The following is a 25,231-nucleotide window of genomic DNA, read 5'->3' as shown; positions in this document are numbered from 1 at the left end:
GGTACAAAGACTCCCTGTAGCAGAATCCCATGTTGAGTAGAAATGTCCAGGATCTGGTATTTCTTCCATGCTCAGTTATTGACTAGGACTGCATGTGCCCTTGATTCAAACAGTACTGTAGCTCCTGAAGACACACTTCCATAGGCATTTCTTGGGAAATCTGAGTTTCTTCATGCAAAGCGTAGTCTTAAAATTTATTGTATGTATTTTGTAGGAGTCATTTCAGCAATGAGTCTAGTATGTGTTAAATGCAGAATAAGATTTTCTTTTTAATAATTTAGTAATAAATTTGGGGTAACAATGTTTTCAGAAGAGATATATAGAGCATTATCCTGTGCTACGGCTATCTACAGGAGAGCTGGAGTTGACATGGGGAGGAGGGAAGGTGTTATATAACAAATAGTCCATGGAACTGAGGACATCTGCTTCTGGATTTGATGGTGTCATTTATAAAATACCAAAAGGTCCCTTGACAACAACTAGAAAGCCAGAAGAAAAAAAAAGAAGAAGAAAAGCAAAAACTGTTATTTGAAGGGATTAGAGGTTGCAAGGCAGCCAGGACTTGAGAGACCAAGATCTAAGAGAGAAGAGAAGTTTACTGCAGCGAGAGGAATATTCTGCATGCTGCTTTTCCCCAGAGGTATTTTTCCAATTTGTGAAATGAAGAAAGAGGCTGAGGAGCTAAGCAGAAGTACAGGTGATTTCTCAGAGCTGGGGTAACAAAATGGAGTTTGGGCCTGATAAAGCAACCAGGTCTTGAAGGGCCAAGATCCCAGAGAGAAGGCAAGTACAGAGAAGTAAGTTCACATTTGGCACTAGTCTTCCCCTTAATGCATTTTGTGATTTAGAAACCAGGCAGGGCCAGAGGCTATGAAGCTGAACAGAAAGCAGCTAAAAAGCAGAGTGAAGTGGAGGGCTGTGTGTGTGTGTGTGTGTGTGTGTGTGTGTGTGTGTGTGTGTCTGTGTGTATGTGGCCGTTTTATGGTGCTAAGGAGATAAAAATTTGAGTCCAACACCTGCCAAGCCAAAACTGTGGATACTAGTAAATGCCCTAGGCTTTCAATTCGCTACACCCTAAGGATTAAGTAGACTAAATCTTCAAAGAATGTAACAATGATGTGTTCACTCTGTGCCAAAGGACATTGTAAATTCACTAGGGAGGGAGGTAACATTGTGACTTTACAATATTCCAAAAATGATTTTTGGCAGTAATAGGAAATTGCCACTCATATTAAGAAACAAAACAAAGAGAAAAACACACCATAGACAAAGACTTATGGGAATCCAAGCTATTTAATTTATCAGTCATACATTTTTCTCTTAAGAATTGCGATTGGTATATCTGAGAAAACAGACTATGAGATGGAAAATTTCACCAGATAATTAGAATCTATATATCAAAAAAAGACAAAATAGAATTCTAAGAACTGAAAAGTACAATAGCTATAATAAGGAACTCAGTATCAGATGGACACAGTTGAGAGGATAAGGGAACTGGAAGAGATGATAGTACAAAATATATAGACTGAAGCAGACATAAGCTACATGTTGAAAATTCTAATACATGTGCATCTGGAATGTCAGGAGAGAGAGAGAGAGAGAGAGAGAGGGAGAGGATGGAGCAGAAACAGTCTTGAAGAAATACGGATTAACAACTTTCCAAAATTACTGAAAATGTAAACATCAAGCTATAAATTCAGAAGCACTACAGACCCCATCCAGAGAAAATACAAAGAAAACTGCAACTCGGCACATCATAGTAAAACTGTTGAAAACTAAAGACAAAGGAAAAATCTTAAAAGTAGCCAAGGGGCAAAAAAAGATAAACTATCTTCAAAAGAGAAAAAGGAAGACGAATGAAAAGATTCTCAAGAGAAATATTGGGAAACAATAATATTACATCTTAAAGTGCCAAAAGTGAGTAAGTGCCAACTAGAATTTTAGTGAAGTAAAATAAAGACATGTCTAGACAAAGAAACACTAAGGAAAGACTGTAGCCCCAAATGAAAGCAAAGAAATGCAGGAAAAAATTAACAGCAAAAGAGTAAGTGAGAATATGAATAAATCTAGGTGAATATAGATTAAAAAACAACAATAATAACAAAGCCTTTGCATGTTTGCAATATATGTGGAAAATGTGTAACAACTATGCCAAAATACAGAAGCAAGCATGATAAATTTAAAGTGCTTTAAGGCTTTAGCTTTGGCTGATTATGTAGTAAAACTTTTCATTCATATTAGACTGTAGTAAGGAGGGATGTTGTAATTTCTGGGATAATAACTAAAATGATAGTAAAAAAGAAAAATTAAGAAACTAACAGAGGAGAAAAAGTGGAAGAAAAATACTTGCTCAATCCAAAAGAAGGCACAAAATATAAATAAAACAAATATAGGCCAAGTGTGGTGGTTCAAACCTGTAATCCCAGCACTTTGTGAGGCTGAGGTGGGTGGATTACATGAGGTTAGGAATTTGAGACCAGTCTGACCAACATGGTGAAACCCTGTTTCTACCAAAAATACAAAAATTAGCTGGATGTAGTGACAGGCACCTGTAGTCCCAGCTACTCAGAAGGCTGAGGTGGGAGAATCGCTTGAACCCAAGAGGCAGAGGTTATAGTGAGCCAAGATTGCACCACTGCACTCCAGCCTGGCCAAGAGAGTGAGACTCTGCATCAAAAACAATAACAAAAACCCATATATATATATATATGAGACAAAAAGAAAATGAATATTTAAAATTTTAGACAGAAACTCAAATATATAAATAATTGCATTCAAAATGAATGGACTAAATGTTTAAACTAAAATTCATGCTAGATGAAAAAGAAAAAAGCCCAATCGTATATTTCTTATAGGCAACACACTTTAACTATAAAGTCAAGTATATTTAATCAAAATTGGCTATATGCTGAGACATAAAGTAAGACTTAACAGTTTTAAAAGATTAAGACAATTCAAAGTATGCTTACTAAACACAGTGGAATTAAGCTAGAAATAAATAAATCACAATTAAAACAAAAAAACAAAACAAATAGGACATCCACAATGTTTTTCAAATAAAAAGGTATACTTCTATACAATCTGTGGATCAAAGAATAAATTAAATGAAAATAAGAAAGTATTCTAAACTTAATGATAATAAAATGTGACATACAAGTACTTTGGTATGAAGCTAAAGCTTGTTAGAAGGAAAATTTATGGGCTCATAAACTAATAAAAAGAAAAATGTCATAAAATAAATGATCTAAATATCCAGCCTAGAAAGTTAGATAAATGACAACAAATGAAATCTGAAGGAAGTAGAAGGAAATAAATTATACAGATAAAGTCAGAAATTACTGAAATAGAAAACAAATGTTTAGTAGAACCATCTGCATCTGACTCTTGAATTGTGTCTTATTTTTCTGCACAAATTGACATAAAAACATCACTAAAATTTGGCTATGAGATATTTGGCATTAATATGAGTGGAAAGCTAAATTTTATGTGAGAATAGATGTGAATTTGGTACTTTAAAATATATAAATAACAATAATTTTACAATAAAGTTACTGAAATAAAAATGTAAAGAAACCAGTTAATAACTTATGTTTCAGAATCTTGTCTGTAATGTACTTCGTGGTGTTCCTATAGTCTTTGATGTTTAGTCCTTGTTGTTTGAGGTTTCTCTTGCTCTGCACTCTTTGTGTGATTACAGAATTTATAGTTTAGAAAATATTACAGTTTATGAAAAAAAAGTTGAAGGAAGACAAAAGTCGAAGCCTTGAACAAATGCAACTGGTAACTTCCAGTCAAGGAAGAAAGAGAATAGGCACAAATAACAAATATAAGGACTAAAAAGAAGACATCAGTAGAAATCCTACATGTTACAAGAATAAAAAGATATTATAAGCAACTTTGTGCCAATCGATTAAAAAATTTAAATGAAATTGTCAAATTTCTAGAATCTCACGTCTTACCAAAAGATCTGAATGATCCTATGCCAATTAAATTAGTTTCTTGAATTAAAAATTGACTAACAAAGAAATCAATCCTCAAAGGTTTCACTGGCAGGTTTTACCAAATATTTAAGGAAGAAGTGACTTCAAGCTTACGCATCTCTTCAGAGAATATTTCCCAACTTTTTTGTAAGACTAACATTAGTTTTACACCAAAACATGATAAAACCTGATCAACTTTGTCATAAATTTAGATGCAAAAATCCAAAGCAAAATAGTAGCAATTCTAATCCATCTATAAATTAAAAGGTAATAAATTTCAACTACTTTGGGTTTATCTGAAGAATGTTTAGGTGTGGTTTAACATTTGAAAATCAATCAATACAATTAACTATAGCAACCAAATAAAGCAGAAATATAGTCATACAGTCATTTTAAGGAATATAGAAAAAACATTTGATAAATTCAACGCATATTAAAAACCTCTTAGCAAACTAGGAACAAAGGGAAATTTCTTTAATTTGACTAAGAAAGCCCAACAACATCCAGTAAATGTCAAACATCATGGTAAAAAACATACAGCTTTGTTTCTGAGCTATGCCATGAGATAAGGATGTCTGCTATCACCATTTCTTTTTTTTTTTAATTTATTATACTTTAAGTTCTAGGGTACATGTGCACAACATGCAGGTTTGATATACAGGTATACATGTGCCACGTTGGTTTGCTGCATCCATCAACTCATCATTTACATTAGGTATTTCTCTTAATGCTATCCCTCTCCCAGTCCCCCACCCACCGACAGGCCCTGGTGTGTGGTGTTCCCCGCGCTGTGTCCAAGTAATCTCATTGTTCAGTTCCCACCTATGAGTGAGAACATGCAGTGTTTGGTTTTCTGTCCTTGTGACAGTTTGCTGAGAATGATGGTTTCCAGCTTCATCCATGTCCCTGCAAAGGACATTAACTCATCATTTTTTATGGCTGCATAGTATTCCACAGTGTATATGTGCCACGTTTTTTAAATCCAGTCTATCATTGATGGACATTTGGGTTGGTTCCAAGTCTTTGCTATTGTGAATAGTGCTGCAATAAACATACATGTGCATGTGTCTTTATAGTAGCATGATTTATAATCCTTTGGGTATATACCCAGTAATGGGATTGTTGGGTCAAATGTTAACTCTAGTTCTAGATCCTTGAGGAATTGCCACACTGTCTTACACAATGGTTGAACCAATTTACATTCCCACCAATAGTGTAAAAGTGTTCCTATTTCTCCACAACGTCTCCAGCATCTGTTGTTTCCTGACTTTTTAATGATTGCCATTCTAACTGGCTTGAGATGGTATCACATTGTGGTTTTGATTTGCATTTCTCTGATGACCAGTGATGATGAGCATTTTTTCATTTGTCTGTTGGCTGCACAGATGTCTTCTTTTGAGAGGTTTCTGTTCATATCCTTTGCCCACTTTTTGATGGGGTTGTTTGTTTTTTTGTCTTGTAAATTTGTTTGAGTTCTTTGTAGATTCTGGATATTAGCCCTTTGACAGATGGGTAGATTGCAAAAATTTCCTCCCATTCTGTAGGTTGCCTGTTCATTCTGATGGTAGTTTCTTTTGCCCTGCAGAAGCTCTTTAGTTTCATTAGATCTCATTTGTCAATTTTGGCTTTTGTTGCCATTGCTTTTGGTGTTTTAGACATGAAGTCCTTGCCCATGCCTATGTCCTGAATGGTATTGCCTAGGTTTTCTTCTAGGGTTTTTATGGTTTTAGGTCTAATATTTAAGTCTTTAATCCATCTTGAATTAATTTTTGTATAAGGTGTAAGGAAGGGATCCAGTTTCAGCTTTCTGCATATGGCTAGCCAGTTTTCCCAGCACCATTTATTAAATAGGGAATCCTTTCCCCATTGCTTGTTTTTCTCAGGTTTGTCAAAGATCAGATGATTGTAGATGTGTGGTGTTATTTCTGAGGCCTCTGTTTTGTTCCATTGGTCTAGTTTTCTGTTTTGGTACCAGTACCATGCTGCTTTGGTTACTGTAGCCTCGTAGTATAGTTTGAAGTCAGGTAGCCTGATGCCTCCAGCTTTGTTCTTTTTGCTTAGGATTGTCTTGGCAATGTGGGCTCCTTTTTGGTTCCATATGAACTTTAAAGTAGTTTTTTCCAATTCTGTGAAGAAAGTCATTGGTAGCTTGATGGGGATGGCATTGAATCTGTAAATTACTTTGGGCAGTATGGCCATTTTCACGATATCGATTCTTCCTATCCATGAGCATGGAATGTTCTTCCATTTGTTTGTGTCCTCTTTTATTTCCTTGAGCAGTGGTTTGTAGTTCTCCTAGAACAGGTCCTTCATAGCCCTTGTAAGTTGGATTCCTAGGTATTTTATTCTCTTTGTAGCAATTGTGAATGGGAGTTCACTCATGATTTGGCTCTCTGTTTGTCTGTTAATGGTGTATAGGAATGCTTGTGATTTTTGCACACTGATTTTGTATCCTGAGATTTGCTGAAGTTGCTTATGAGCTTAAGGGGATTTTGGATTGAGATGACGGGGTTTTCTAAATATACAATCATGTCATCTGCAAACAGGGACAATTTGACTTCCTTATTTCCTAATTTTAAATATCCTTTATTTCTTTCTCTTGCCTGATGGCCCTGGCCAGAACTTCCAACACTATGTTGAATAGGAGTGGTGAGAGAGGGCATCCCTGTCTTGTGCCAGTTTTCAAAGGGAATGCTTCCAGTTTTTGCCCATTCAGCATGATATTGACTGTGGGTTTGTCATAAATAGTTCTTATTATTTTGAGATACATTCCATGAATACCTAGTTTATTGAGAGTTTTTAGCATGAAGGACTGTCGAATTTTGTCAAAGGCTTTTTCTGCATCTATTGAGATAATCATGTGGTTTTTGTCTTTGGTTCTGTTTATGTGATGGACTATGTTTATTGATTTGCATATGTTGAACCAGCCTTGCATCTCAGGGATGAAGCCAACTCGATCGTTGTGGATAAGCTTTTTGATGTGCTGCTGGATTTGGTTTGCCAATATTTTATTGAGGATTTTTGCATCAGTGTTCTTCAGGGATATTGGTCTAAAATTCTCTTTTTTTTGTTGTGTCTCTGCCAGGCTTTGGTATCAGGATGATGCTGGCCTCATAAATGAGTTAGGGAGGATTCCCTCTTTCTATTGATCAGAATAGTTTCAGAAGGAATGGTACCAGCTCTTCTTTGTACCTCTGGTAGAATTTGGGTGTGAATCCATCTGGTCCTGGACTTTTTTTGTGGTTGGTAGGCTATTAATTATTGCCTCAATTTCAGAGCCTGTTATTAGTCTATTCAGGGATTCAACTTCTTTCTGGTTTAGTCTTGGGAGGGTGTATATGTCCAGGAATTTATCCATTTCTTCTAGATTTTCTAGTTTATTTGTGTAGAGGTGTTCATAGTATTCTCTGATGGTAGTTTGTATTTCTGTGGGATCAGTGGTGACATACGCTTTATCATTTTTTATTGAGTCTATTTGATTCTTCTCTCTTTTCTTTTTTATTAGTCTTCCTAGTGGTCTATCAATTTTGTTGATCTTTTCAAAAAACCACCTCCTGGATTCATTGATTTTTTGAAGTTTTTTTTTTTGTGTGTCTCTATCTCTTTCAGTTCTGCTCTGATCTTAGTTTTTCTTGCCTTCTGCTAGCTTTTGAATGTGTTTGCTCTTGCTTCTCTAGTTCTTTTAATTGTGATGTTAGGGTGTCGATTTCAGATCTTTCCTGCTTTCTCTTGTGGGCATTTAGTGCTATAAATTTCCCTCTACACACTGCTTTAAATATGTCCCAGAGATTGTGGTACAGTGTGTCTTTGTTCTCATTGGTTTCAAAGAACATCTTTATTTCTGCCTTCATTTTATTATTTGCCCAGTAGTCATTCAGGAGCAAGTTGTTCAGTTTCCATGTAGTTGTGTGGTTTTGAGTGAGCTTCTTAATCCTGAGTTCTAATGTGATTGCACTGTGGTATGAGAGACAGTTTGTTGTGATTTCCGTTCTTTTACATTTGCTGAGGAGTGCTTTACTTCCAATTATGTGGTCAATTTTGGAATAAGTGTGATTTGGTGCTGAGAAGAATGTATATTCTGTTGATTTGGGGTGGAGAGTTCTGTAGATGTCTATTAGGTCCGCTTGATGCAGAGCTGAGTTCAGGTCTTGGATACCCTTGTTAAACTTCTGTCTCGCTGATCTAATATTGACAGTGGGGTGTTAAAGTCTCCCATTATTAATGTGTGGGAGTCTAAGTCTCTTTGTAGGTCTCTAAGGACTTGCTTTTTGAATCTGGGTGCTCCTGTATTGGGTGCATATATATATTTAGGATAGTTAGCTCTTCTTGTTGAATTGATCCCTTTACCGTTATGTAATGGCCTTCTTTGTCTCTTTTGATCTTTGTTGGTTTAAAGTCTGTTTTATCAGAGACTAGGATTACACCCCCTGATTTTTTTTGCTTTCCATTTGCTTGGTAGATCTTCCTCCATCCCTTTATTTTGAGTCTATGTGCATCTTTGCACTTGAGATGGATCTCCTGTATACAGCACACTGATGGATCTTGACTCTTTTCCAATTTGCCAGATTGTGTTTTTTAATTGGGACATTTAGCCCATTTACATTTAAGGTTAATATTGTTATGTGTGAATTAAATCCTGTCATTATGATGTTTGCTGGTTATTTTGCCCATTAATTGATGCGGTTTCTTCATAGCATTGATGGTCTTTACAATTTGGCATGTTTCTGCAGTGGCTGGTACTGGTTGTATCTTTCCATGTTTAGTGCTTCCTTCAGGAGCTCTTGTAAGGCAATCTGGTGGTGACAAAATCTCTCAGCATTTGCTTGTCTGTAAAGGATTTTATTTCTTCTTCATTTATGAAGCTTAGTTTGGCTGGATATGAAATTCTGGGTTGAAAATTCTTTTCTTTAAGAATGTTGAATATTGGCCCCTACTCCCTTCTGCCTTGTAGAGTTTCTGCCGAGGGATCTGCTGTTAGTCTGATGGGCTTCACTTTGTGGGTAACCCGACCTTTCTCTCTGGCTGCCCTTAACACTTTTTCCTTCATTTCAACCTTGGTGAATCTGACAATTATGTGTCTTGGGGCTGCTTTTCTCGAAAAGTATCTTTGTGGTGTTCTCTGTATTTCCTGAATTTGAATGTTGGCCTGCCTTGCTAGATTGGGGAAGTTCTCCTGGATAATATCCTGAAGAGTGTTTTCCAACTTGGTTGCATTCTCCCCATCACTCTCAGGTACACCAATCAAACGTAGATTTGGTCTTTTCACATAGTCCCATATTTCTTGGAGGCTTTGTTCGTATCTTTTTACTCTTTTTTCTGTAATCTTGTCTTCTTGCTTTATTTCATTAATTTGATCTTCAGTCACTGATACCCTTTCTTTCACTTGATCAAATCAGCTTGTGCATGCATCACGAAGTTCTCATGTCATTGTTTTCAGCTCCATCAGGTCACTTAAGGTTCTCTACACTGTTTATTCTGGTTAGCCATTTGTCTAATCTTTTTTCAAGGTTTTTCGATTCCTTGTGATGGGCTCAAACATCCTCCTTTATCTCGGAGAAGTTTGTTATTACCGACCTTCTGAAGCCTACTTCTGTCAACTCGTCAAAGTCATTCTCTGTCCAGCTTTGTTTCATTGCTGGTGAGGAGCTGTGTTCCTTTGGAGGAGAAGAGGTGCTCTGATTTTTAGAATTTTCAGCTTTTCTGCTCTGGTTTCTCCCCATCTTTGTGGTTTTATCTACCTTTGGTTTTTAATGTTGGTGACCTACAGATGGGGTTTTGGAGTGGATGTCCTTTTTGTTGATGTTGATGCTCTTCCTTTCTGTTTGTTTTCCTTCTAACAGTCACGTCCCTCAGCCGCAGGTCTGTTGGAGTTTGCTGGAGGTCCACTCCTGACCCTGTTTGCCTGAGTATCACCAGCAGAGGTTGCAGAACAGCAAATATTGCAGAACAGCAAATATTGCTGCCTGACCCTTCCTTTAGAAGCTTCATTCCAGAGGGGCAGCCACCTCTATGAGGGGTCTGTTGGCCCCTACTGGGAGGTTTCTCCCAGTTAGGCTACACAGGCATCAGGGACCCACTTGAGAAGGCAGTCTGTCCATCCTCAGAGCTCAAACACCATGCTGGGAGAACCCCTGCTCTCTTCAGAGCTGTGGGACAGGGACGTTTATGTCTGCAGAAGTTGTCTGCTGCCTTTTGTTCAGCTATGCCCTGCCCACAGAGGTGGAGTCTAGAGGCAGTAGGCCTTGTTGAGCTGTGGTGGGCTCCGCCCAGTTCGAGCTTCCCAGCAGCTTTGTTTACCTACTCAAGCCTCAGCAACGGCAGATGCCTCTCCCCCAGCCAGGCTGCCATCTCGCAGATCGATCTCAGACTGCTGTGCTAGCAGTGAGCAAGGCTCCATGGGCGTGGGACCCATGGAGCCAGGCACAGGAGAGAATCACCTTGTCTGTCAGTTGCTAAGACCTTGGGAAAAGTGCAGTATTTGGGTGGGAGTGTCCCATTTTTCCAAGAAGTCTGTCATGGCTTCCCTTGGCTAGGAAAGGGAAATCCCCTAACCTCTTGTGTTTCCTGGTGAGGTGACACCTCACCCTGCTTCAGCTCACCCTCCATGGGCTGCACCCACTGTCCAGCCAGTCCCAGTGAGATGAACTAGGTATCTGAGTTGGAAATGCAGAAATCACCCGTCTTCTGCATTGATGATGCTAGAAGCTAGAGACTGGAGCTGTTCCTGTTTGGCCATCTTGGTGCTATTACCATTTCTATTCAGGGTTGTATAAGGAGACCTACCAAGTACAATAAATCAAAGAGGAAAAATGGAGAGAGACTGAATAGAAAGAAAATTATCTAAATATGGAAGTAACATGATTATGTATGTAGAAAATAGAAAAGTCTATAGATAAATTATTAGAATTAATAAATTTATTAATGTTGCCAGATATAAGATCAATATATGAAAATCAATTATATATCTATAACAGCATGTAAAATAGAAAATGAACATTATTACCACAATAGCATTAAAACACAAATTCTTTTCTTTTATTTATTTATTTATTTTATTATACTTTAAGTTCTAGGGTACATGTGCACAATGTGCAGGTTTCTTACATATGTATACATGTGCCTTGTTGGTGTGCTGCACCCATTAACTCGTCATTTACATTAGATATATCTCCTAATGCTATCCCTCCCCGCTCCCCCCACCCCACGATGGGCCCAGTGTGTGATGTTCCCCTTCCTGTGTCCAAGTGTTCTCATTGTTCAATTCCCATCTATGAGTGAGAACATGTGGTGTTTGGTTTTTTGTCCTTGCGATAGTTTGCCAAGAATGATGGTTTCCAGCTTCATCCATGTCCCTACAAAGGACATGAACTCATCCCTTTTTATGGCTGCATAGTATTCCATGGTGCCCGTCTATCATTGATGGATATTTGGGTTGGTTCCAAGTCTTTGCTATTGTGTATAGTGCTGCAATAAACATATGTGTGTATGTGTCTTTATAGCAGCATGATTTATAATCCTTTGGATATATAGCCAGTAATGGGATGGCTGGGTCAAATGGTATTTCTAGTTCTAGATCCTTGAGGAATCACCACACTGTCTTCCACAACGGTTGAACTAGTTTACAGTCCCACCAACAGTGTAAAAGTAAAAACACCAATTCTTATGGGTAAATTGACCAAAAGATGTGAAGGGAAACTGTAGTTTCTATACAGAAAACCATAAAATATTATTGAGAATCATTGAAGAAGGTCTAAATAAATAGAGAAACATAGCATGTTCATAATTTGGAAGATTTAATTGGTTAAGATGTCAGTTCTCCCCCACTTCAAATATCTATAGTCTTATTGCAGTCATAATTAAAATCCCACCAGGTTAATTTTTTGTCAGATCTGAGAAGCTGATTCTCAAATATCTGGAAATACAAGGGGTGGCAAATGACAATAATGAAGAAGGAAAAAGCTAGAGAACTTATACTTGCAGATGTCAAGACTTAATATAAGGCCACAGTAATTAAGACAGTGTGGTGTTTGTGAAAAGACAGTTGAGTAGACAAATTGGAAGAATGGAGACCAAAAAGAGACACACACATGTATTCACAGAAATGACATCACAGTGCAATGGAGAAAAAAGTGGTCTTTTCAATAAATTATTTGGAGTCGTCTGCATATCCATAGTGGAAAAAATCAAATATTGACCCCTATCTCACTCCAAAGGCAAACATTAATTCTAGATAGATTGTTCATTGAAATGTGAAAGGCACAACATTAAAGCTCCTTCAAGTAAACTGGGAGTTATCTTCCTGACATTAGGATGGGCAAAGATGTCTTAAAAGCACACACAGATCACTGAATGTGAAGAGAAAGAGTACATTGGGCTACATTAAAATTTAAGAACTTCTAATTATTAAAAGCCACCATTAAGAGAGTGAAAAGGCAAGCATGAGAGAGAGAATTTCAAAACATGCAACTGACACATAATTCATATGCAAAATATATTCTAAAATTCTTAAAGTAAATAAGAAAAAGGCATGCAAACCAGTAAAACAAAAAAAAAACCAAAAACTTTATACAGGTCCCTTACAACAGAGACTATTCAGATGGCCAGTAAACATGAAAAAGGGTACAGAGTCAACAGGGCAATGCAAGTGGAAACCACTAGATACAACCACAAGCCTACCAGAATGGGTAAACTTAGACATGCAGACAATGTCATGTGCTGGCAAGGATGTGCAGTGTCTTGTACACTGTTGAAGGGAGAGTGCCTTGACACAATGCTTTGGAGAACTGGCAGTATCTACTGACACTGAACATGGGCATGTTCTGTAGTCCAGTAATTCCACTTTTAGGTGGGATACATGTGGGGTGGCACCAAAAGACAAGCCCCAGAATGTTCATAGAAATGTCATTTGTAATATCACCGAATTAGAAGCAATTCAAGTGTCCTTTAACAACATGAATGATTTTTTTAATTGTAGTCTATTTATACAATGGCATACTATGTCACTATGAGAATGAACCACTATCGCTACATCAATAATATGGATGAATTTCATAAGCATAATATTGAGTGGTATAGGTCAGACACAAGGGCATTTAAAGTTCAAAAATAAGCAAAATTAATCAGTCATGATAAAAGTCAGAAGAGTGGTTACGTCAAGAGGAGTTGTGGCTGGGGTAGGCAAGAGGGTGAGGACTTCTGGGGTGCTGGTAAGGCTTCATTAACCTGGTGGTGAGTTCATGGAGGTGTTCGTTCTGAAAATGCATTGTGCCGTATACTTAGAATTTGTTTACATTTTCATATGTATGTGTTGATTCAATAAAGGTTCACTGAAAAATATTTCATACAGCTGGTTTCCCATGGAATTTGTGGACGCTGCAATTGACAATATAAAGTGATAAGCACTGAGATTACTTTATGATACAGCCTCCTACTGAATTGTATTTCAGAGTTTGAGGAATGTTACAGTTGTTTGATCCAAATCCTTTCCACATACACAAAGCAGTTACATTGGAAACCTACCATTACTCTGTGAAAGTTTGAACCTCTTCCTTTGAAATCTTATTCAGGATTTGTCTAAAGGGCACACAAGAAAATGACCTTTTATAAAAAGTCTAAAATCATGTGTTTTATTTTTGTTCTATTGTTTATTTACTTCATTAGACTTTGGGTGACTCTAGGTTACTTCCACAAAGTATACAGATTTACTATCATAAGAATATTCAATAACATTACCTTTGAAATAAGAATATGTTCCCCAAAGGACTTCTTTGAAAGAGCACCATTACTGGGACTCCTGCATCCAATTGCCTTTCACAGCCTGTGAGCTTGCTAAACATTAAGGACATTAATTGTTGGTAATGCCTCATTAACCCAACATGTTTCCATCTTTAGTATGAACCCATATTTTACGTATGTCTTCAGACAACATTGGAGAAAGCAATGCCAGGTAGAATTAGCACTTTGGTCTTCTGAATACAAGGGCAGACAGCCTTCAGAGAACAGAAGGATGATAAAAAAAAATATATAAATAGAGTGGTAGTTCTCAAAGTGCAATCTCTGGGCCAGAAGCATCAGCATTACCTGGGTACTTGTTAAAAATACAAATTCTTGGGTTCCACTCCAGACCCACTCAGAAAGAAACTCTGGAGTAGGGCCCAGCATCTGTGTTTTAGTAAGTCCTGTGGGTGATTCTGATGCATGCTAATGTTTGAAAACTATGGGCATAAGGAAATGCTGTAGCAGGAAAAGTGAGGTCTTCAGAGTTAGCCTCAAACTTTGCTTTACCACTTCCTAGCTGGGTAATCTCTGGCAAGTCCCTTGATTTTGTTACTATTCAGTGTTTTCAACAATAAAATGGGGAGAATAATTGCTACAATTAATCAAGTACAAAATGGAGGTTTTTGATACATAGTACTATTGATACTATTCCTGTCAACAGTGCTAGTGCTAATACTACTGTTATTATTATTATAATTATTTTATAAATAAAATGAGTCTTGGAAATCTAGTTTTCACAGGAATAGTAAGAGGTAAAGAATTGTCCTTGGTCCATGTGATATCACAAAACAGTATCATAATTTTATTTGTTCGTTGGTGAAGCATATTAAAAAGTAAACTTGGCATTTTCAATTCATAGAAGACTTTCTTTGTTGTTGAGGTCGTTGCCAGGAGGCAGCTTATCCTGAATAAGACTCTGTTCAGTGTGAGACAAGTAGCTCATCCTGGGACTTTGAGGATGACACTGCCACATTAAAAGCAAATGCAATTTGAAGAAAATTGCTGAGTACGCTTCAAAAACATTTTTTTACACCTACATTTGTGCTTTCTTCCGAGTTTTAGTAGATATAAAGCCCAAAGAGTTGCCAGATCTCTCTACTGCTCAATTCTAAGCCATTCTTTCTGGTAAATGGCTCTGCACTTGTGAGATAGGAAGTTGGCAGGACTTGTTTCTCAAGACACAAGTCCCAAAGACACTGCTGATAAAACAGAATGTAGTAAAGAAGCCAGCTGAAACCAGCCAGAATTAAGATGGCAATGAAAGTGACCTCTGCTTGCCCTCACTGCTCATTATACACTAATTATAATGCATTAACATGCTAAAAGGAACTTTCTCACCAGTGCCATGACAGTTTATAAATGCCATGGCAGTGTCCAGAAGTTACCTTATATAGTCTAACAGGGGGAGAAACCCTCAGTTCTGGCAACTCTCTACCCCTTTTCTGGAAAATTCATGAATAATCTACTCCATATTTAGCATGTAATAAAGAAATAAACATAAATACTGATAGCCAATGGCCTATACACTGCTACTCTCTATACACTGCCACTTCAATAAACCTGCTTTCTTCCACTCCTGGCTCACTCTTGAATTCTTTCCTGAGCAAAGCCAAGGACCCTCCCAGGGTGAGCCCCAATTTCAGAGCTCTCCTATCCTGTGTCACTTGGAGAGCCCCCTCCCTGGGAAAAAAAGGAGCAGAGAAAATGACCTGGCTCTTCCCCGCTTCCTTTTTACACCCTGGAGCAAGTGTATCTGGCTCCAGTTTCTTCACCACACTGTAGAACATACGGTAGCAAATACAGTAGAGAGAAGACATTTTCTAGTTCATTTTTCTACCTCCCATTGTCTCTGCTTTAGTAGTAATGGTGTAGGAAGGAAAGTATAAACTAGTCAGGTACACATGTGACTCAACTTGAAAATTAAGTGAAGATGCCATGAAATGTTGACCAGATGTTTTAAAATTTATGTTCTTCTCTGTCTTGCACAGGCTCTGGGCCTGAAAACTGTCCTTTAGCCTAGTAGACATGGCACTGATGGACAATGACTCTTCCTTTGCTTTTAGATTCCTGTTACTTTTCCTTTCTTCTCTTCCCCCTGCCTCCCCAACAGCCTCTCTTATTCCAATAGAAATGAGAGAAAAAATTAGCCCCTTGTAGCTTCTGCTTTAAAAGATAAAGACAGCTTAATTTCCTTGAGATTCTTACTCCAAGAGCAAGTGTATAAAATCTCATGCACTCAATGCGTTTTATTTAATGCATTTAATTCATCAAATTGCTATGTTTACATACAAGTTAATTCATGATACTGTGCAAATTAAAGAGCTTGTCAAAAAAAAATGAAGGCTTTCAAATTAGTCTGAGAGGTACCTATTACTCATTGAATCAAGGAGCCAATCATTGCATACTTCAGTAATGTCTTTTATATATTCAACATTGTCGGAGGTTTTTACAAACCCCACGTTACATGTCACTCTCAACACATGGGTACCTTACTACTCACACATGGAAACCTGCTCATTTTCAGATAAATGTGATTTTTATGTTACTAGAATTTCACTTTCAAAGCATACTGCCATATTGGTTGGCTTTGAATGATATTAAATATTTCCCAAACTTAGAAATGGCACAAGTGGTCCATATCATGGATGCGCATCTGCAAACAGACACAAAGTTAGATGTGTGTTGTGACACCATGCTCATGCACATTGATATGTATGTACATTTTTGCACAGGTGGTATGTGGGCTGAAGGTGGCTACAGGAGACAGAGCTTCTGAGCATTCATCTAAGAAGATTGGGGTTCTGAGAAGAGCAGGACAGGCAGGCAGGATGACATAGTGTGAAAGCATTCAGCTTTTTCAGAGTTGGATTCATTGTGCGGCTTTTTCATTGAACTTACAGATGAGCGATTTCCTCTATATTTGTATGAAGGACACAGGAGTAGAAGGCTACCCATATGCTAGCACACAGATCCACACACTAGTCATAGTGATTCACACGGCGTATGGAAGATGATACTACCCCTCCAGGGGACACTGAGAACCATAGGGGGCCATTTCCAGTTGTTGCATTTACTGAAGGATGGAAGGTGCTCCAGCGTTTAGTGCCAGCATCTGGAGATGTTAAAATTCAACAATGTCCTAAACAGTTCTGAAAAACAAGAAGTGTCATACCAAAAACATAAGTTGCACTTTCTTTGAGAAACAGCAATTTTTTTGTTCATATCCATTGATTGCTCCCACCTTGGGATCTTGGGATCTCAAATAGTTGTTATGAGTTGTAGGAATCTGTAACCTACAGTTGTTATTTTCAATTTCAAGCTTGTCCAGGCTTCTTTACTGACTTCCAGAATCATTATCAAACTGCTTATTCTAATCTCTACCTGGATGTCCCTGAGGACATAATTCAACATATCCCAAATCAAACTCATTCTCTTCTCCCTCGTACCTTCTCTTTATCAACTATCCTCTATGGTGGTAAATTTCACTGCCATGGCAGTCAAGTGAAAAACCTGGGGATCATCCTAGGTATCTTCCTCTCCTCACCCTCAGATGTAATCAGTCACTGAATCTTAGTTTTCTGCCCCCTTAGTTTCTTTCATTTTTGTCACTCTTTTCTTCAATCCTGCTGCTACTGCCTTAGTTTGGCCGCTTCTTATCTCTCATCTGAACTGTTTTGTTAGAACTGGTCTCCCTTCTTCACTGCATTAGTTAGGAAACTTTGGGTTGCAAGTGACAGAAAACTCAACTAAATAAGCTTATACAATTGAGAAATCTGAAGGCCCAGGGACAGCTCAGTCCAGATCATAGAAATATATAATGAGAGCTCTGTCTCACTCCATCCTTATACCCTAGGACTTTCCGCTGTGCGACTCCATCTAGGCAGGCTCTCCCAATGTGCATCATGGTGGCAGCTCAGTTCCAGGCTTACAGCCTGTTCTTGCCATCTCAGCTGAAAGAGACAGCCTCCTCTTTAACTGCTTCAGCAAAATCCCAGGATGGGCTGTCCTTTGCTCTTACCCAAATGAGCCAGAAAAAGAGTTAAGAGTTAAGTTATCCTACACAACCCCCATCAATTGTGCATGGGGAGCAGTTAGTTTCTCAAGAAAAATACAGGTTTTGTTAATAGAAGAGAAAATGTGTACTTGGGCGTATATATTTATTAAACCTCTCTCTAATCCAGCCTCTATCCATGGACCACCCCCAGAGTGATCTTTTCAAGCATACGGAGTCATGTCTTTGTCTTGATAAAATCTTTCCATAACTTCCCATTGCCTACATGATAAAGTCTAGACAAGCATGAGCAGCACTCCAAAGATCTGACCTCTGCATACTTCTTATGCCCTTCTCTCATCTGCTCTCTACTATGTCTTAGCTCCAAACATTGAGATTCATCAAACACCTCACACTGTGCTGTGCCTTGAATTTGCTCAGAAGGCTACACCCTGTTTTTCCACTGAGAAAAATAAGTAAATATCTATTCATTACCTCCTCTCTCCTATTCCTTTTCCCATACTCTCTCATCTTTGCATCTCTACTAAACCTGAGACTCATACCGGAGCGCCTGTGACCCAGTCCTATCCTGACTGGTCTGTCTTTCCTTTCCAGACTGTCACTCCTTAAGGCCAGGGATAGACATCTGTCTTTGCATCCCAAATACCTAGCAAGGTGCATGGTCCATATTTGACACCAATAACTGTCTAGTGAAAGACCAAGTCAGTAAAATATAATAAAAACATGTTCATCATTGATAAAGCCAAAAATGATAGGAATACAATTTTTGACACTCAACAAATTAAGACACATGGGGAAAATAAATCAAAAGAGGTTCTTAGTGCTGGAGAGGAAGTGACTATTTTGTGTGGAACCTCCAATTACGGTATTATGTAGTGGACCACTTTGTTAATTCGTTAAATGATCATTAGTTCGAGGGGAATATTTGGTAACATAATTTGGTGATAACTGTACTTGAGATTTATGTTTATATAATCATGATGGCTTGAGAAAGTTTCCTAAAATTACTTGCATTTACTTCGTTAGTATTCCCAACAACTTTAGGCAGAGAGCAGATTGCAGTGTATGTAAGGGCAGTGAAGCTATGAGCATTGATTGCTTTGTCTTCTAAATCTAAAATCTTCTGTAGGGGTGGGTTGCCCCTACACACCTGTGGGTGTTTCTCGTAAGGTGGGACGAGAGATTTGGAAAAGAAAAAGACACAGAGACAAAGTATAGAGAAAGAAATAAGGGGAACCGGGGAACCAGCGTTCAGCATATGGAGGATCCCGCCAGCCTCTGAGTTCCCCTAGTATTTATTCATCATCTGTGGGTGTTTCTCGAAGAGGGGGATGTGTCAGGGTCACAAGACAATTGTGGGGAGAGGGTCAGCAGACAAACACGTGAACAAAGGTCTTTGCATCATAGACAATGTAAAGGATTAAGTGCTGTGCTTTTAGATATGCATACACATAAACATCTCAATGCTTTACAAAGCAGTATTGCTGCCCACAGGTCCCACCTCCAGCCCTAAGGCGGTTTTTCCCTATCTCAGTAGATGGAGCATACAATCGGGTTTTATACCGAGACATTCCATTGCCCAGGGACAGGCAGGAGACAGATGCCTTCCTCTTGTCTCAACTGCAAGAGGCATTCCTTCCTCTTTTACTAATCCTCCTCAGCACAGACCCTTTACGGGTGTCGGGCTGGGGGACGGTCAGGTCTTTCCCTTCCCACGAGGCCATATTTCAGACTATCACATGGGGAGAAACCTTGGACAATACCTGGCTTTCCTAGGCAGAGGTCCCTGCGGCCTTCCGCAGTTTTTGTGTCCCTGGGTACTTGAGATTAGGGAGTGGTGATGACTCTTAAGGAGCATGCTGCCTTCAAGCATCTGTTTAACAAAGCACATCTTGCACCGCCCTTAATCCATTTAACTCTGAGTTGACACAGCACACGTTTCAGAGAGCACGGGGTTGGGGGTAAGGTTATAGATTAACAGAATCTCAAGGCAGAAGAATTTTTCTTAGTACATAACAAAATGGAGTCTCCTATGTCTACTTCTTTCTACACAGACACAGTAACAATCTGATCTCTCTTGCTTTTCCCCACATCTTCCCAGAGTGTGCTGTTTAGATGGAAACAACTACCAAGCACTCAGGCTAATGGCCAAGGTCATATTTTCAGGGAGGCAGTAGTACAGCTGTGTCCAGTGCCCTAGGCAGGACTTGAAAGAGCCCTGGTGTGCCTCCCCATCACCAGGGTTGGGGGAGCCCCTCCTCCACACCACAGGTCTGCTTTGAACAATGTTCCAAAGAAAGCTCCCCCTTGAAGAGTGAATGCTAAATAATACCTTCTTTTCCCCTCTAGAGGCTCAACTCAAATACCATTTTTTATTAGGACTTTGCTAAGAATTTAGGGAGAGCTAAATTTGGTTTTTATCGGAACAATGAAAGCTCTAGATAATGGGGATCATGGCTGTATTTCTGAATAATTGTGTCCTGAATTGACTGTCTCTAGAGTTCAAATTCCTCTGGAAAGTGCCAGCCCTTGATTTCCCTGCACTGAGCCATCATCTGTGCTAAGAATGGAACTCAGGTTTCTTAATTCCTCAGCCAGAACTCCATCTATTAGAACACTGTGCCTCTCAATTATGTCTTAAATTAGGCATATAAATGAATTCACTCACACTCTTTCTGCCTACCAAGTTTCTGCAAAGGAACTTATCAGTGCTTCATAATATACAGTTGGGAGAATTTCCTTAGCTCTCCAGTTAAACTCCTACAGACTCCAGGAGTGGGAGAAACTGAGATTGAAAAGCTCAAGTCTCCTTGAATCTTCTAAGAGCTGCACAGTCACTGCCCCGCCCTCACACCCATCATCAGTCAGACATGAAACAAAGGAAATCCTCCCAGTCCTAGGCTAAACCCCATCAGAGAAGTTAAATGCTTAATCTGTTAGCCCAGCAAGTTATAAAGATATTTTACAAGTGTGGAAAGGAATATGCCTGCATGCAACTGCACGTTTTTCTTTGCCATGGGTGGAAATCTAAACGGGGGCTCTGCCTTATCCCCAGGCCTGTCTCTCAATTGCACCTGTCCAATGGAAGAGTGAAGAAAGGGCTTTAATGAATTAGAGCAAATTGCTTGGCACTGCTCTGACCTGAGAGCTGAAGGGAGTTCGGTGGCAGAGTGCCTTTTATTTTTGATGAGCTCTTGCCTATCTTTTAAATGTTCTTTTTCTTTTTGGTCACTTGAAGCTCTAGTGCCTGTAGGGGGGAGGGGGAGCCACAAAACAAACTCAAAGGAGAATATAAATAAATATCATTTGGAATCTTGCATAATATCAGCCAATGGCAACAGCAGGTTTTTGACAGGCCTGTGAACTTCCCCAAAACAACATCCTGCCAGCCTGGCTGTGATTCAGGCATGAGTCAATGCTGGGAGATGGGCTGCTGCCAGCCCGCTTCCCCAGCTGAAAACTCTCCCCCAGGCCCGTCAGTCTATTAACATTTAGAATCTGGGCTGGACTGACTTGTTATTAACAGTGCTGGTACCCCTCAAGGTAATCACACAGGGAAATCTTTTCTTCCAGCATTGGGAATGTAACTACAAGGAAGAAAGAAAGAAAGATGCCTCTTCATCACAATATGATCTTTGATACAAAGGGGGTCAGTACACAGTTTTTACAGCTGACACAATTATTTTAGACTGGAGAAAAGCTCTTTCCACACCCCCTGGAGTCTTGTTATAATGAGGCCCAGGCGTGCTATCACCTTTTTGTAATCCCAAAGAGGAATGGTGACTGCTGAACTGGGAGGAGATGTCACCAGGGTTGTTAGAGTCCCAAATGCTGTGGAAATAATTTTCTACTGTTATTAGGAGACTACCTATCACAGGCACTTTTCTCAAAGACTGCTTTTCACTTTGAAATTATGGATGTGCTTCAAAGAGCAATTCTCACTCTGTGCACACGAAGCAGCAATCACAAACTCCCCAGAACCCCCGCAAAACCTGCCACCTTGCTGAATGAGAGATGTGGCCTTCCTGCTAAATGCCCATGGAGTCTTCGGAGCTAAGAAACCACAACACAGTCGTAATTTTGCAGACATGGACTGAGAGTGGGGCTATCAGACGTGAAACTTTCTCCAACTAATTATGCAGGCTGGAGTGAGACATAATGGGGAGAAAACAATATTTGTGGTCAGTTTTTTTCCCCGTCATTGCTTTGTGCTTGAACTAGGGATCAATTTCTAAAACCAGGATCAGGGAGTCTTCTCCCTTCTTAAGGATGAGTTATTTACTCTCCTTTCCTTTAACCTTTTAACCAGCTACTAAAGAGTTTATGTACCACTCACGGTGCTTTTGTTAAATTATATTTCTCCACTGTGGAAAATGCAATGTAACTTTTGATATTCTTACATCCACCGAGAATCCAGAACAGGGAGTTTAGGATGTACGAATCCTGTCTTTGCCTTTGGTTCTTTAGCGATGGTTTTATAACTGCTTTTTCATCCATCCACAGTAGAAGGAACAAAACAAAACGGACTAGCTGGCAAAATTCCTTAAATGGATCATTTAAGCACACCTTAGAAAACTGCAGGTGTGGAAATGGAAAGTTCAGCCCAGGAGGATATTTTGGAGTTATGGTTCTTGCCCATTCCTTTTTTTTTTTTTTTTTAAACAAAACAAAACAAAACAAAACACACACAAAAACAGCTTCTCTTGGCACCTTGAACATCACTTGTCTTGTGGGAACACTTGTCCCTTGTAAAGAAATGACTCAGGTGTTAAAAAAAGTTCTTAAAAAAGTGGCAATCTTGCACTCACAGAAGATGGGGCTGTAACTACAAGATTATGCTGGGAGAGATATGACGGCTGTCAGTGGGCTCTCACTTCCGAAGCAACTTCCCTGCAAGTTATGCCCACATCTCCTGCGCCAGCCAGCGTGTGGGTGTGAATGGGCTTTCTCACAAATGCTGGCCCTAGTTTTTTGTTTTTGAAAATTTAGCCTTTGCTGTTTACTCTAGTTTCAGACATGATATTTTTCAAAACCAAACTTGGGATCTACAAGATCTTTTCTCTCCCTTTCAAAACCCTAACATAACTTTGGCCATGGAAATCAACCTTGTTCATCAGTAGTTCACAAGCCGTCAGATGACCAAGAGCACACTGACAATAGTGACACCCAGCCAGTGAATTCCAGCCCAGATAAATGCAGCATCATTACTATCGCTGCATTTATCTACTACCTGACTCTCCATTGGTTTTCTGGCCTCAGTCTTTGCAGCTGCCTCCTCTTCTCTCCCTCTTGATGGCCGCAGATCTCTGCTTATCACCCGTTTCCATGCTGGCTTTGTCTGCTTCTTTGTAAGCTCTTGTCTGAGCAGTTTCCGCAGCATGCGTGGCATTGTCAGGGTCTACTGGATAAGCGGCCTTGCCTGCTTCAGTCATTCTGGGCCTTCTTTGTCTTGTTTCCTTTTTGATGGCCTAATTTCAGACACATTCTGACAAAGGACTGTTTCAAAATAAACAGGCGATATGGGTGTGCTATTGTTCCATGCACTGCCAGATTATTATTTTTTAAATGTATTCAGTGCATGGATTTATCATGTAAACTCCTATTGAAAACCATTGCCCCCAGCAAGGATTTGAGCATTTGGGTAATTTCCTGAAATTCTCAAGTGTGTGTATTTGTAGTGTCTTTCTTCCCCCACTTTAAATGGATGCAGCCATGTTGGAGCAATTCATAAACAATATTGATTGCATGAAAGCACAAAACTGCCAATTTTGATGCTTGCTCCTCATCTCCTGCAGGAGACCCTAATCTCTAAGAAGCGCTCCCTTTTGCTAAGGGTTCAAAAGGAGCAAAGCATTTGTATTCACATATAACAGGATCTAAGCTTCAATAATATTCTGTCAATTTTCTTGGTGTCAGTGTTGTGTCCATTTGGGACTAAAAGCTGGAAAATTATTCTACCTGTGAAAACACGTGCATTTCTTCCTAACTCAGCAGAGTCAGGCATGAATGCAATAATGCATATATATTCAAACATGGACTGTGCTGCCTCCTTCTATATCACTTGATTTGGTAATCTAATACACTTCAGGACTTTAGTAACTGAAATTGTTTGGGAACTTGATTTATTGCCTAAAATCTGTGCAAGGCAGTGCCATTTAAAGATCTTCTTCCTTTCCTTTAGGGTTTTATCCTTTGAATAAATAATTCAGCTTAATAACTTCTATGATCTGTGAGGTTAATTGACCTGAAAAGAAACTTTCTACTGGTTTAATGGAACCCATCTTTGTATGCTTTTCACTGAGTTACCCAGTTTTTTCTCTTATTTTTTCCTCTTGAGCCTTGTATTTCCCAAAAGATTAATTTTGTTTCAAAAGCCACAACCACATAACAGTGTGGTTCACATCTTGTAATGTCTTTGGAATGCAGGGGTCATGGTTATTATCCAAAGTTCATTTTTGAAAACTACACTTGCTGTGGTTTTTGGGAAGCTCTGCCTTATAATCCAAGCATGCATTAACATATAAATATACAGTCTCAAATCATCACTGACCTCTAACAAGAGTCTAGTATTTTTGGTAATTGTGTATTAATGTGGACAGCAATAAAAATTCTATAGTTTAAAACCAAGACTGGTTGATTCCAGGAATGATATTTTAATAAAGGGCCCACTGAATGTAGGACAGATGCTGGGTGTTATGCTAGGCTGGTAGCTGAATCTTGGATCAAACACAACTTTGGGATGACTCATACATTTTACTAATTTATAAGTGTAGCCTTCCTTGAAATCCGAATGTAAAGACCAGCGTCCTGATCTATGAAAGTGAATATAACCTTGAATTCAGAGAAAATAATTCTCTATTCACTGAATAAAGAATCCCTAAGCTTATCACTTCTTCCTCCCACATCTTCCAGCTTTTTATTTTCTTTGAGTTTCACATGGGGGACTATGTGAAGCTGAAAGAATAAATCTGACTCCTGGAGATTTGTATAGCAATAAACAATAAAACCTTATCTGGACAGCCAACAGAAAATGGTTGGACAGCAAATTTATTTAGAAACAGCATCAGACTACCCAAGTGGGCATGTGGGATTTTGCTCTGAGGCTGCCTAGGATACAACAGTGTGTGATGGACAACTGGGGGAAGTATTCTCGTCCCTCTGCTCACATCAGAAGCTTCTAGTCCTTAGTTATTCACTGTGGCCTGTCTTTATTCACCTGCCCAGAGCTCTCCTCTCCACCTTATTCTGTGGCCATGCCTGAGAGGACCCATCTGTCCGTTGCAGAGGTGCTGAATTCCCTTTCACTCACTTTTTCTACTGCTAACCTCTGATTTTTTACACTTGCATATGAAAATGATCTCACTATAAAATTATAGAGAAAAACAGGATACAAAATTGTACTTCTGAAAAAAATCCCAAGTACATAAAAAGTGACTATATTGGAAACAAATACATCAACATA

At 39.0% G+C, this 25,231-nt stretch overlaps 2 long non-coding RNA genes across 6 annotated transcripts in view, besides 1 other annotated feature; one reads left to right on the top strand and one right to left on the bottom strand.

Annotated features, from left to right (window-relative positions):
• LOC105377885 (uncharacterized) overlaps window positions 1-25,231 on the top strand; it is a 143,181-nt gene that overhangs the window by 41,471 nt on the left and 76,479 nt on the right. The window lies entirely within an intron of this gene.
• On the bottom strand, window positions 16,002-23,249 carry LOC124901358 (uncharacterized). Its single transcript, XR_007059671.1, has 2 exons — window positions 23,000-23,249; window positions 16,002-16,906 (listed from the first exon to the last, which is right to left on the bottom strand). It is a non-coding gene; the product is annotated as an uncharacterized LOC124901358 (long non-coding RNA).
• Window positions 18,630-19,571: an enhancer, noted in NCBI's record as "OCT4-NANOG-H3K27ac hESC enhancer chr6:89091597-89092538 (GRCh37/hg19 assembly coordinates)". NCBI's record gives its function as "activates a minimal SCP1, AML or CMV promoter by ChIP-STARR-seq in primed H9 embryonic stem cells {active_cell/tissue: H9 hESC(primed)}" and the evidence as "EXISTENCE:reporter gene assay evidence [ECO:0000049][PMID:30033119]".

Source organism: Homo sapiens, chromosome 6, assembly GCF_000001405.40.
Source record: "Homo sapiens chromosome 6, GRCh38.p14 Primary Assembly".
NCBI lineage: Eukaryota > Metazoa > Chordata > Mammalia > Primates > Hominidae > Homo > Homo sapiens.
This window is presented reverse-complemented; position numbering and strand designations above follow the sequence as displayed.